The 12,819-nt window shown below is 36.0% G+C and overlaps 1 protein-coding gene and 1 non-coding gene across 51 annotated transcripts in view; both read right to left on the bottom strand.

Annotated features, from left to right (window-relative positions):
- The window catches only part of BIRC6 (baculoviral IAP repeat containing 6), a 261,856-nt gene that overhangs the window by 86,396 nt on the left and 162,641 nt on the right, over window positions 1-12,819 (bottom strand). For all 50 annotated transcript variants that reach the window (XM_006712055.4, XM_005264451.5, XM_047445167.1 and 47 more), the window contains 4 exons: window positions 7,464-7,595; window positions 6,855-7,019; window positions 2,659-2,832; window positions 932-1,128 (listed from right to left, as the gene is read on the bottom strand). In XM_006712055.4, the coding sequence (XP_006712118.1) occupies window positions 932-1,128; window positions 2,659-2,832; window positions 6,855-7,019; window positions 7,464-7,595 (668 nt within the window). The remainder of the gene's footprint in view (window positions 1-931; window positions 1,129-2,658; window positions 2,833-6,854; window positions 7,020-7,463; window positions 7,596-12,819) is intronic.
- Window positions 237-330, bottom strand: MIR558 (microRNA 558). The gene has a single exon (NR_030285.1). It is a non-coding gene; the product is annotated as a microRNA 558 (primary transcript).

Here is a 12,819-nt window from a genome sequence, read left to right as displayed (position 1 = left end):
GAGATACAAGGACACACAGGAAAGATGGCCATATGACGACGTAGGCAGAAATTAAAGTGATTCAGCTACAAACCAATGAACAGCAAGAACTACTGGCAACCAATAGAAGCCAGGAAGAAGCAAGGAAGGAGTCTTCCCTACAGCCTGAATTCAGAGGGAGCATGGCCCTGCTGATATCTTGATTTCAGACTTACAGCCTCCTCAACTATTGAGAATAAATTTCAGTTGTTTTAAGCCAGCCCGTTTGTGGTATTTTGGTACAGCAGCTCAGGAAACTATAATAGAGTCTAGAGCTACTATACCAAAATAACCACACACACACACACACACACACACACACACACACACGACATGAAATCAAAGAGAATAATTCCCCTACTTCATTCAACAAACACAAAGTTTTGTTTTTACAACTCTCCATGCACCATACTTCCTACTGATTGATACAAGAGCATGGAAAGCACAGACATTGACAGCTTCGTAAATGAACACGGGAATAGGTCATGTTTTTAAACCACCAAAAATGGAAATGGCACCTGAAACAGGAATAAAAGGTAAACAAAAAGACATATATTGGTGGCAGTATACACTGCTATTTTACTTCTCCTATTTCCAATAATATCTCTAATAAATATCACACTTAAAGCAGCATAGAAAAGAGAATGCTAGTGTTACAACCATGAAATCAAGATAAATGCAACAGTGTAGTAAGTCTGGCAAGTGTGCTTGATCTTCAACATTTCTTCCATACCTACTGAAGGTCATGAAGCTCTGTACAGACTGACCATTGAAAGAGTTATATAATGTTCAAAAAATATAAAGCAAAGGGTATTTCTACAAAGTTAATCCAAGTACATTAAAAAACAAACATTAAAAAGAATGAAGGGCTTAGCTATGGAATGATATACTCGATTAGGAAATCTTATCTTACCTGTTGAATTACTTCTGGATATAGCATGGGTAGTCTTTCAGCAATAAGAGCCAGTCCACCCATTCCTGCAAAAACTTGTAATGGTGACTGAATTGGACAGGTTTCAAGCAAAGATTCATCCAGTATCCCATCCATGCATTCATCACCTGGAGTGAGAGCCTCATCTTCTGGACAGCTAGCAAGTAAGTCTCCATGATCTAGACAATAAATTACAAATAACTGAATAGGTAAGAAAGGGTATATTTTTATAATATTCTTTCATTTACAAAAGCAGGTATTACTGCTTTCTTGCTACTCAAAAAAGAGCACAAAACATCATTTATTTAGATATAGCTGTATTATGGCTAGACGGTACAATGACCTTTAAATGACTTCTGATACTGCCTTCTTTAGTCTTGTTATTGGAAGAATGGTTCATGGACTAGTAGTATTGGCATCACCTGCAAGCTAGTTTGAAATGAAGAATCTCCATTTTAACAGTATGATGCTGGTCATTTGTAAGCATACTGAAGTTTGAGAAGCACTGTCCTTTAGGGCATACTTTAACGTATATCCTATGTTAAAATAAATAAGTTCTCAAAGTTCTCATAGCAAATAATATGCTCTAAAGTATCCTATTAAGAAAAATTAATGACAAAGACTTCCCTTACTTAAAACAAAAAATTATACCATATTAGTTTAACTCTGAATTACTCACCAAAGAAAACCAAAAGGTCACGTAACCAGACCCTTTAAACATTAAAACAAAAGAGAGAAATAATCGTGCTGAAAAACTGGGCAAAGACAATGTACCAAAATTTGCTGAAGAATACAAAAGACCAATAACTAAAGACTGAATTTTAGTCATGAGAAAGATGGAAAGTTTAAGTAAGTTCATATCATACTCACACTATGAAAACTACTTATATAGCATTTATAGGAGTAAAAATTGGAAACAACCACAATGTTTCGATGATTGGGGAACAAATAAATTTTCTTACATTTTTATGAAAAAATAGCCAATTCAAAAATGGATATTCAAAAATATTTAATGGAATATAAGGGCCGGGTGCGGTGGCTCATGCCTATATCCCAGCACTTTGTGAGGCCGAAGCGGGCAGATAAGTTGAGGTCAGGAGTTACAGAGTAGCTTGGCCAACATGGTGAAACCTTCTCTCTACAAAAAATACAAAAATTAGCCAGGCATGGTGGTGGGTGCCAGTAATCCCAGCTTCTCGGGAGGCTGAGGCAGGAAAATCACTTGAACTCGGGAGGCGGAGGTTGCAGTGAACTAAGATCGTGCCTCTGCACTCCGACCTGGGAGACAGAAAAAGACTCTGTCTCAAAAAAAATTAATGGAATATATAAGTAAAAAACAAAAATATGTGATCCCAATTATATGAGAAAACATGTTTATATGCAAGAAATGCCACTCAATATAAATTATAACAAAGTTGTAAGTTGAGTTTCTCACTTTTATTATAAAATGACAATTCACATAGCTCTCACAGAAATATCAGAAATTAAAGTACATGCGCTCATAAAACAAATGATGTTATAAGAAATAATGCAACTTAGTTTCCAAATGAAATAATGGCCATTTTTTATATTTACAAAAATTCAGTCATAAAAAAATTATATCTTATGTTGATATAATAAAAACACAAGTCAATTAAGTCATTAGCTATAGAAATCTCTGCCTCTTTGTATGACAGTCTGTAATTTTTAAAGTAGTATTATGCACATACCTTTTTCAGGGTGTAGTCTTTTATAAGAATCTGTTTTTGATAGACTGGGGTCTGTTATAACTCTTGATCCCAATTTAACAGTCAGATCTATTGAGCGGTAACCCTGAGGAAGTTTTCGGTCATATAGGAGAGTTAAAAGCTGGGCAAGTGTCATTTCAGCTGGCAATGGCTGGCCTAAAATGATATAACTAAGTTAAATCTGGAAACCGAGAAAGAAACATTTACTTGGTTTAATTATTATCTGCTTTTACTAAATTACAGGCAAGAGTTTGATTCTGAAACCAATTTCAAAACAATTAAAAAATTCAACAGCCATTGGAAAGTTTACAAAAAGTGAGTTTATTTCTGACATATAATAATGAACAATAATGTCTGTGAAAGTGTTAAAAAGTCATGGGCAAAACGTAAACAAAGGAACAGACATTTCCATAAATCTGATGTGGGACATTTTTTTCTATAAAAGGACAGCTAATAAATACTTTAACCTGGGGGGGCCATATAGTCTCTGTTACAACTGCTAATCTACATTGTAGCAGAGAAGCAGCTATGGACAATACACTAGTAAATGGGCATAGCTGCATTCCAACAAAACTTTATTGCAGGCAGAAGGCAAGACTCACATCACCTAGGTAATGGGCCATGAGATATGTCACAAGGACCTCTCTGGACCAAGGTATCCAACCCACCAGTCGATAGTTTGTTCGCCTCCACCATGAATCAACAATGTAAAGCTAAGAAGAAAAATTCCTTTGAACTGAGTTGGCAATTTCATTTTAATACAGCATGAAAATGGTGATAAAATAGAGGATGGGTATCCCTCATCCAAAATGCTTGAGACTAGAACTGTTTCAGATTTCTTTTTTTTTCTTTTTTTTGCATTTTCTAATATTTGCATGTACACAATGAGTTATCTTAGGGAGGGGATCCAAGTGGAAACACAAAATTTATTTTTGTGTGTATACACACATACACACATCCCTTATATACATAGCCTTAAGGTAATTTTATACCGTATTTTTGATAATTTTGTGCCTGTAATAAAGTTTGTGTACCCTGAACCATCAGAAAGCAAAGGTGTCACTATCTCAGCCACCCATGTCAACAAGAGTCATCATTCCTGACTCTTAATCTACATGCTAACAATAGGCAATTGTTTTCTTACATTTATTCATACATTAAGTACTTAACAGTAAAAATATGACATACCATTAACACTGAAAAAATAATGTGTCAGGACAACTAAGCAGCATAGTAGCATCACCAGGATACCTGTTTCAGCTATTAAACAAAACCAACCACAGAGCCGGGGGTAGTGGCTCATGCCTGCAATCCCAGCACTTTGGGAGGCCAAGGCAAGTGGATCACCTAAGGCCAGAAGATCAAGACCAGCCTGGTCAACATGGTGAAACCCCGTCTCTATCAAATATACAAAAATTAGCCAGGCGTGGTGGTGGTCGCCTGTAATCCCAGCTACTCGGGAGGCTGAGGCAGGAGAACTGCTTGAACCCAGGAGGCGGAGGTTGCAGTGAGCCGAGATCACGCCATTGCACTCCAGCCTGGGCAACAAGAGTGAAACTACGTCTCAAAAAAAAAAAAAGGAAAAAGCAGCTACAAACAACAGCAGGCTTTCAGTCTTCACCTATGATGCTGTGTTTTTATTCAAAGGTTACTATAAACTGTGTTTTTTAGTTAAGAAGAAACATCAGAAGCAGCTGAGGGACCAGGAAGTGGATCCTACGGGGGATGAAGAGACATTCTGCTGGAAGGCTTTTAAAAATGGTTCTTGTGGAGTCATCTGCCTCATTAACATGGTTTTTAGCTCAGAAGTCTCTCTTCAATTTTAAAAACTGACATGGTTTTTCATTCTGTTGTTAATGCACGCTGCCGTAATCCTTCAATATGCCCACCATACATTTTCACCATGTCTTCTTCTATAAGCACCTTTTCTGTGGTGTTATCTTGACCTTCTTCATCACTATCATAACCCTGATTCAAAACCATTTCGACTATTTTACCACCAGTCAATGAATGAATAACTGAAGCATTATTATCAAAGTTCAAAACTTCTTTGACATCTACTTCTTCCAGCTTACTGCTGAACTCTGAAGGTATATTTTTTACATATGTAAGGAGGTCAGACATCATTTTTTTTCACTTGACATACAGAATCCTTCAAAGTCACACACACACAGTTCATCATTATCACTAAACACAGTTGCAGGCCAGAGGTTGTGCCAGACATGCACAACTGTGTCTTTGTCACTGTGTTCCAAGTATTGGCAACAACATATATGGCATTCTTTATACTAAACTCCTTTTGAAAATTTTCTGCACCCATGCCTCTGTTCACTGCTGCCAGCATGCTGTTCAAGAAAGTGGATTTATATTTTCTGTTCATTGATCTAAAGATACCCTGGTCACATGGCTGAATTAATGAAGTCACATCTGAGGGAAAGTACATGGCATAAACATTAGTTTTGAGAATTTTAGCTGGAGGATGAATTGGGTGATATCAAGGAATAACAAACTCCTACATCATCCAGTCTAGCTTATGGGCAGTACATACAAGCCACTGGTACAAAGTGTTTATGAAACCAATCAGAAAAGATGTCTGTGGTGATCCATACTTTTGTGTCAGAGTAACCATGGACTGGTAAGAAATTCACTCCTTGAAAACAACAAGTGTGAAAGGTTTTGCCTATCAGAGCATGTTTGTACTTATGTATGCCAGTTGCATTAGCACATCCCAGGACAGTTATTCTGTCCTTGGTATCCTTAATTCCTGGAGGGGCTGTCCCATCAACTGTAGCCCAGTGTCTTTTTGAGACAATAACACCAGAACAGGGATATATTTCATCAGCATTATAAACTGTTCTGGCAGATTTTCATCAGCCATGACTTTGGCAAATTTATCAATGAACTTCTCCATTGCTTCCTGATCATCAGATGCTTTATCACCACAAATCTTTAAAAATGTAATGTCGTATCTTCTCTTAAACTTCTGCAACCAGTGTGTTGAATATTCACAGCTCCTTTCAACATTCAGTTCATCATGATAGATCGTTACTTGTTTCATGATCAGCATACCATTAAGAGGCACGTGTTCACTGCCAACACTGATGGATTCACTGTTTCAATACACAATCAATATCTTCATTTTTAGCTTCATGGAGTGCTTTTTCTATTTTTCATTAACCTCTATTCACCACTTGCAGCACAGAACATCAATGGTTTATCTTTCTGTTTGTTCAGGTCATGTATGGTGGTCACTCCAACACCATACTCTCTTGAAAGACATTTCACACTTACATTGCTGTCCAGTTTCTCCAACAGCTTGTTTTTCTGTGCTACAGATAAACATAAATACTTCCTCTTTTTATCATTGTTACCCATAAGGGTATCTGGGGCCTTTTTTAAATTTCCAACACCACAGAGCAAAAAAACACAGTAATGCACACACATCTTGGCATCATGTGGGGCATCGTGGGAAACCTGCTGTTGGCACGTCTGGCATGCACATTTGCAGTTTTGTTACCCACTGTGGATATGTAGGGAGGAATCGGGCATGCTCAAAAAATATCTGAAGGGGGCTGGAAGATCTTTTTCCTCTTGTGGACACTGAAAAAACTGTGTTGTGTGCCTGTGTTTAGACTGTAACCGTCATATGAGGTCGGATGTGGAATTTTCCACTTGTGTCATGCCAGCACTCAAAAAGTATCAGATACTGAATTTTTGGATTAGGGATGCTCAACCTGTTATCACCTTGAACAACAGACAGGATGGTGCTCAATAAATGTGTTTTATCTGGGAAGAACATATGGCTTAACTACCAGTGGTCTAAGAGTTCTACTGCTTGAACTAGTCCTACAAATTTGCCCCACGGTGTTTCCTAAATAACTTGTCATGAACTCTCTAAATGTCTATTTCATCAATCATTTCATGGCACACTGACAGAAAAACTTAGAAAACCAGTAAAGTAGAAATAAATAACTTGATAGTGTTAAAAAGGATACGTAATAGATTACTCCTCCTTTGCTCTCACTTCTCTTCGGAGGAACTGTATGGAAGAAGTCTCACTAACTCACTGATCTCATCAATGGCACCTGATTAAAATGATTTTGGTGACTGTGCCTCTGATTTACATAGTTTTAAGGCTACTAAAATTTCTTTGACGTTTATTCATTGAGGAATATTACCTGCCAAGAGTTTGTGAAACAGGTGAAACACTGGGACAGTAATTATTTTGTTGGCAGCCTCTGCTCCTGAAGTACTTCCTATTTTATCAGGTATTGTCCTCCCCCTCCTGGATGGTGGGCGAGGTGGTGTAGCTGACACAGCACGTTTAGATTGAGACTTCAGCCCTAAAAGAAAAGGATCAGTAAGATTCTACATAGTCAACACACTAATATGAAGGAAAACAGTGTTCCTAAAATATTTTAATAAGGCATGCATTCCTAGCTAATGTCAGAAAACAGAAATGTTCCTTCTAATCCAATATCTAATCTCCCAATTCTATTCGTCCTTCATGACAACAAATAAATAATTTTGGCATTGCATCTGTAACTATTTTCCTAAAAAGTAAAAACTGTAGCTAGCTGCTATAATCTCTGAAATACAGATGACAACCTATTTAGTGGAAAGTGAAAAAAAATAAAAATAAAAAGATAAAAATCTAGTATTAAAACATCATTACGAGTCAGCTTTTTATATTAGTACAATGTATTACATAAATTTCCTGTAACTAAAATTCTAATATTTTATAGAAACCCAAACAAAATCAAGATTATAAAAAATAGAAAGCATACCAGAGGCAACAACAACACTGTAATTGTCTTGAAATCCATTTTCCGCTTTAACTTTTTCTTTCTCTTCATGGTTTTTCTTTTCTTTGTCATCTTTTTGTTCACTAATTAATTTAGCTGTGATACTTGGAGTATCTGTAAGAAGATATTATCTAAAATACACTGCTTTTCCAAATCATTAAGAAGAGAAGTAATATATGTTTCAGAGGGAGATTATGCAAGATAATATTATCCTTAATACTAAGGCAATATAAAGGAATTTAGGAGAAATGGCATGAGGTAAAGGCCTGATACCCAATCTTTACTGACATTGATGAGGAAGACTCACCACTGTACTTAAGCCAGAATATTTAAGTTCTAATCTCTGTAAAGTATTATATACAGTATTTTAATGGTACCACCTCCAGAAACAATGAAAAACCAGTAGCATGAAAACTTGCTTTATTTTAGCCATAGTTCAATGTGCTTGGCAACTGCATCTAATTCAGTCCTCGCAACATAGAAATGAATGTTATTTTCAAAATGAAGAAACAGCCTTAGAAAGGCTACTGATATAATCTGTATATGGCAAATATGGGACTCAAGCTCAAGATTCAGTCTATAGCATTAAACTAGACTTCTGCTTATATTACAAATGAAAGTATAAAAGAACAAATTTCTGTAACAGATTTCCTGTTCTGTTAATTTTTATTTAGGACAAAAACAGGAATCTTAGACAACAAAGTAATATGTTTTAAAATTTAATGTGTTTTACTTTAAAAAATGAGTATTAAGGGCTCTCATAGATAGTTATTACTCTGAATATTCCTTTCATTACTGTGGCATACAGCACACCACTAAAAATTATAAAATAAATGGGTGATCATATAATGTGATTTAGTTATTAAGAAATTTAAAGGCTGAATGAATTGATTTGAAATTTTAATTTTTTTCACTATATAACTGTTATCAAGTCTCCAATTCTCTTTTTTTTTTTTTTAAGATAAGGTCTCGCTGTGTTGCCCAGGCTGGAGTGCAGTGGTGTAATCGCGGTTCACTGCAGCCTCAACATCCCAGGCTCAAGTGATCATCTCACCTCAGCCTCACAAGTAACTGAGACCACAGGCACATGCCATGAATTTCTGTATTTTTAGGAGAGACGAGGTTTCGCCATGTTGTGCAGACTGTTGTCAAAATCCTGGGCTCAAGCCATCTGCCTGCCTCAGCCTACTAAAGTGCTAGGATTCCAGGCATGAGCCACTGCATCTAGCTCAATTCTCTTTTTACTTCCCTAATTTAGCACAATTATGACCCGGTCTTTTATGTTAAAAAGGTTGAGACAATAAAACAATAAACAACATCTTTTGTAATAACTCTCATTTTACAGTTTTTAGTATATGAAAGTGATTTCAATTTATACAACTTCTTAATACTAATTGCTAATTGCCTATAGACAGTTTTGTGAAGTAAAAAATTTTATACACATAACAAATGCATGGTGCAACAATACATTTTACTTTCTAACAAAAACAACCAAGCAACTAAAAATGGCAAACATACTGACACAGGTCAGAGTGAAACATTTAAATAATAAGAAATTCACAAAATTAATTCATAGCATAATCAGGTAAGAAAAGCACACAAAGAATATTAGGTAATAATTTACTTAGTGCAATTAGAAGTTTAGCCAATTTTCATTTATTACCCTTATTTCAAAAGTAAATATAAAGAATAAATGCCATTCAAACACTAAAAAAAAATTTCTCAACTTCCTTTTAAAAATGCTCTGGTTTCTAATATTAATTTACTTTTTTATTTTTTAATACAAATTTCTGTTTTATTTTTTTCTCTGTACTTGAACGTATGCAAAAAGCTGCTCTGTTTTAGAATTCCACTTCTGGAATTATAAGGATCAGGTTCATCTCCCACGTGAAATAACCTTAACTAGAAATATATATTAACAATACTTTTCAGACACTGAGTATCAGGCAGGGCAGGGCAGTGATGCCTGGGTAAGTGGAAACCAATGAGGTGACCCCTAGGATTGTGTGAGCTGTCTGGAAAAGAATTCCTAGGCCACAGCTCAGCACAACCTAGTTGTCACCCTAGACTGAGGATGTAAGAGCCGGAAATCCAGGAAGAAAATATTTGCATCTATGCAGATTTGCATCTAGAGATCTGGAGATCCCTGGATCTCCAGAGATCTATACAGGGTCTTCAAGACTTCAACATGTACTGACGAACCTATGTGAGCAAACCACTGAAGGCCAGGAAAGGTACTATCGAAAAGTAGCAGGGCAAGCAACCCCAGGGTTTCAGGGAATAAAATGCTTTGTGCTCTTAGACATCTAGTGAATTCCTAACAGAGTACTCATAAGGACAGAGCCTTAATAGTGGGGTCAAATGGGATTTAGAACTGCATTTTCAAACCTGGTACCTTAATTCTATTCTAATGAGGTACATATTTAAAGGTAAAATTCATTAAAATTAAAAATTCAATCTAAAAATTTAGTTTCTTAGTCTCATTTCATGTGCTTAACAGTTACCAAACTAGACAACATTGGTTTATAAAAATTACCAATAATTACAGTAAGTCTTGCCTTAGATTAAAAGCTGCTCTGATCCTACTTACAAAGATTAAAAGCAAGTCTAAAAGCAACAAACTGTTTTCAAATAATATCATTATATTTCATGAAAAAATAAAATATATATATTAGAATACAAAATATTCAGCACCCCAAAAAGTAAAATTTACATTGTCTGGCATCCAAGAAAATTCTCCAGGCAAATAAAGAAGCGAGAACATACAATCCATAAGGAAGAGAAAAATAGTACAAACAGACTACTATGTTCAAGAAAGCTGAAGAAAACCTATACACTTTAAGTAAGGACAAGGAGATATAAAACGTCTAACAGATCAGACACAGGAAATTATCCAAAATTTAAAAATAGAGAAAAAAAATGATGGGGGGGAAAAGAGGAAACACAGATTTGGGGTGTCAAACAACTTCATACAGCCTAATAAGTAACTGTAATTATAAAAAAAGGGGAGGCAATTATTGAAGAAATAATTGCCAAAATATTTCGAAATTTAGTGAAATCTAAAACACACAGATTCAAGAAACTCGACAAACTCTAATCATAAGAAATGTGAAGAAAAAATTGTAAGGCACACAATCATCATACTGCTTAAAACCAGTGACAGAAATTTGTAAAAGCAAACAGACTGACACATAAAGGTTATTATTTGAAAGTAATATTGTCGGCCTGATGTGGTGGCTCATGCCTGTAATCTCAGCACTTTGGGAGGCCGAGGAAGGCAGATCACTTGAGGTCAGGAGTTCGACATCAGCATGGCCAATATGACAAAACCCCATCTCTACTAAAAAAAAAAAAAAAATACAAAAATTAGCCGAGTGTGGTGGCGCGTGCCTATAATCCCAGCTACTCTGCAGACTGAGGCAGGAGAATTGCTTGAACCTGGGAGGCAGAGGTTGCAGTGAGCCGAGATCGCGCCACTGCACAGCCTGGGGGACAGAGTGAGACTCCGTCTCAAAACAAAAAACAAAAAACAAAAAAAACAGAGAGAGAGAAAAAATAATAGGTCACTTCCTTTTTGGCCAGTTTTAATATTCTCTTGTTGTCTTTGCTTTTTTTTTTTTTTTTTTTTTTTTTTTTGAGATGAGGTCTTGCTATGTTGCCCAGGTGGTCTGGAACTCATGGGCTCAAGTAATGCAGAGAAAGACTCCATCTCAAACAAAAAAAAAGAAAGTATACTGTCAAAAGCTACAGATAGCAGGTAAATTTACTGAGGCAATACTTCTGAATTACTTATTCTTATACATGTTGATCTAATATAAACGTACAAGTAAATATATCAGAAAATATGGCTAAAGAGTATAAATCCACTTTAAAGAACCAAAAAAAATCGCTAAGTAGGTTACATTCAGCACATATAACTTTTGAGGTCGTGTACTTCCAAAGCGATTAGCTTTTATTTTTATGCAATACAGAAAACTATTTTGTAAAATATTTTGAATGCTAGAATGTTTTAGAATAGCATTCTTCCACAGTAAAGACTAATTAAAATGTTCAATTTTCAGTTATTTTGTATTAGAATGTCTACTTTTGCACTTCAAGTTAAACATATGAAATATCAATATCAATAACTGAGCTTCAGTGCTCCTCCCCACTTTCTTCATTTATTTAATTTTGTTTGTATGTGTTTTGAGAGAGTCTCGCTCTGTCGTCCAGGCTGGAGTGCAGTGGCGCAATCTCGGCTCACCGTAACCTCCACCTCTAGGGTTCAAGTGATTTTCCTACCTCAGTCCCCCAGATAGGTGGGACTACAGGTGCACGCTATCATACCCAACTAATTTTTGTATTTTTAGTAGACATGTGTTTCCCCATCTTGGCAGGGCTGGTCTGAAACTCCTGACCTGAGGTGATCCACCTGCCTTGGCCTCGCAAAGTGCTGGGATTACAGGTGTGAGCCAACAAGCCTGGCCCATTTATTTACTTTTTAATTTTCATTTTTCTTCATCATGTAGAATGGACAATTTCAGGAAACTGATAGAAAATACTGTCTAACATCAAATTTTCAAAAAAGTTTCTCTGTAACAGATAAGGCAGTCATTTTCAAATAAATTTTTTTTAATATTTATAACAGTATGCTAACAACCTATTGTATAAGTTGTAAAACGGTAGGAAAGAATTACGATTTTATGCACATGCATATTAGACACAGCGATTGTGAAGCAGAAAACAATCTTTCCTACCTATAATGATTATATCCATTCACATGGTTTCACTTACCATCTATGTGTGGTAACAACTCCCAAATCTCTTTAACTCTCTCTTTTACTCTGGGCTTTAGATTTGTATTTTTAACTGATAGACATTTCCAACTTTTTTCTTAGATACTCCTATTCTTGCTTCAGTTCACAGCTTCCATTAAAAACTTAGGTCCCTTCTTATGTATACAGATAGAAATATATCTACTTATATTCATGTTATAATGCAAACAGACATTTCTAGTTTATTTTAGAAGTTGACAACAGACATAAGATCACAACTATCTTGTGAGGTGGAATGTGTGTCTTGCTCATGTTTATAATCTTAGGACAAATTATAGTGATTGCACTTTGCAGATGCTCAGCAAGTTCACTCACTGATTAACCAGAATTTCACAGTGGCAATACACTCCAACTATCTAAAGTTGATATGGGCCAGGCGCGGTAGCTCACACCTGTAATCCCAGCAATTTGGGAGGCCGAGGTGGGCGGATCACTTGAGGTCAGGAGTTCGAGACCAGCCTGGCCAACATGGTGAAAATCAGTCTCTACTAAACAAATGAAAAAATTAGCTGGGCATGGTGGCA

This window comes from Homo sapiens, chromosome 2 (assembly GCF_000001405.40).
Source record: "Homo sapiens chromosome 2, GRCh38.p14 Primary Assembly".
Taxonomy (NCBI): Eukaryota; Metazoa; Chordata; class Mammalia; order Primates; family Hominidae; genus Homo; species Homo sapiens.
The sequence above is the reverse complement of the archived record's forward strand: the minus strand, read 5'-3'. Positions and strand labels throughout refer to the sequence as shown.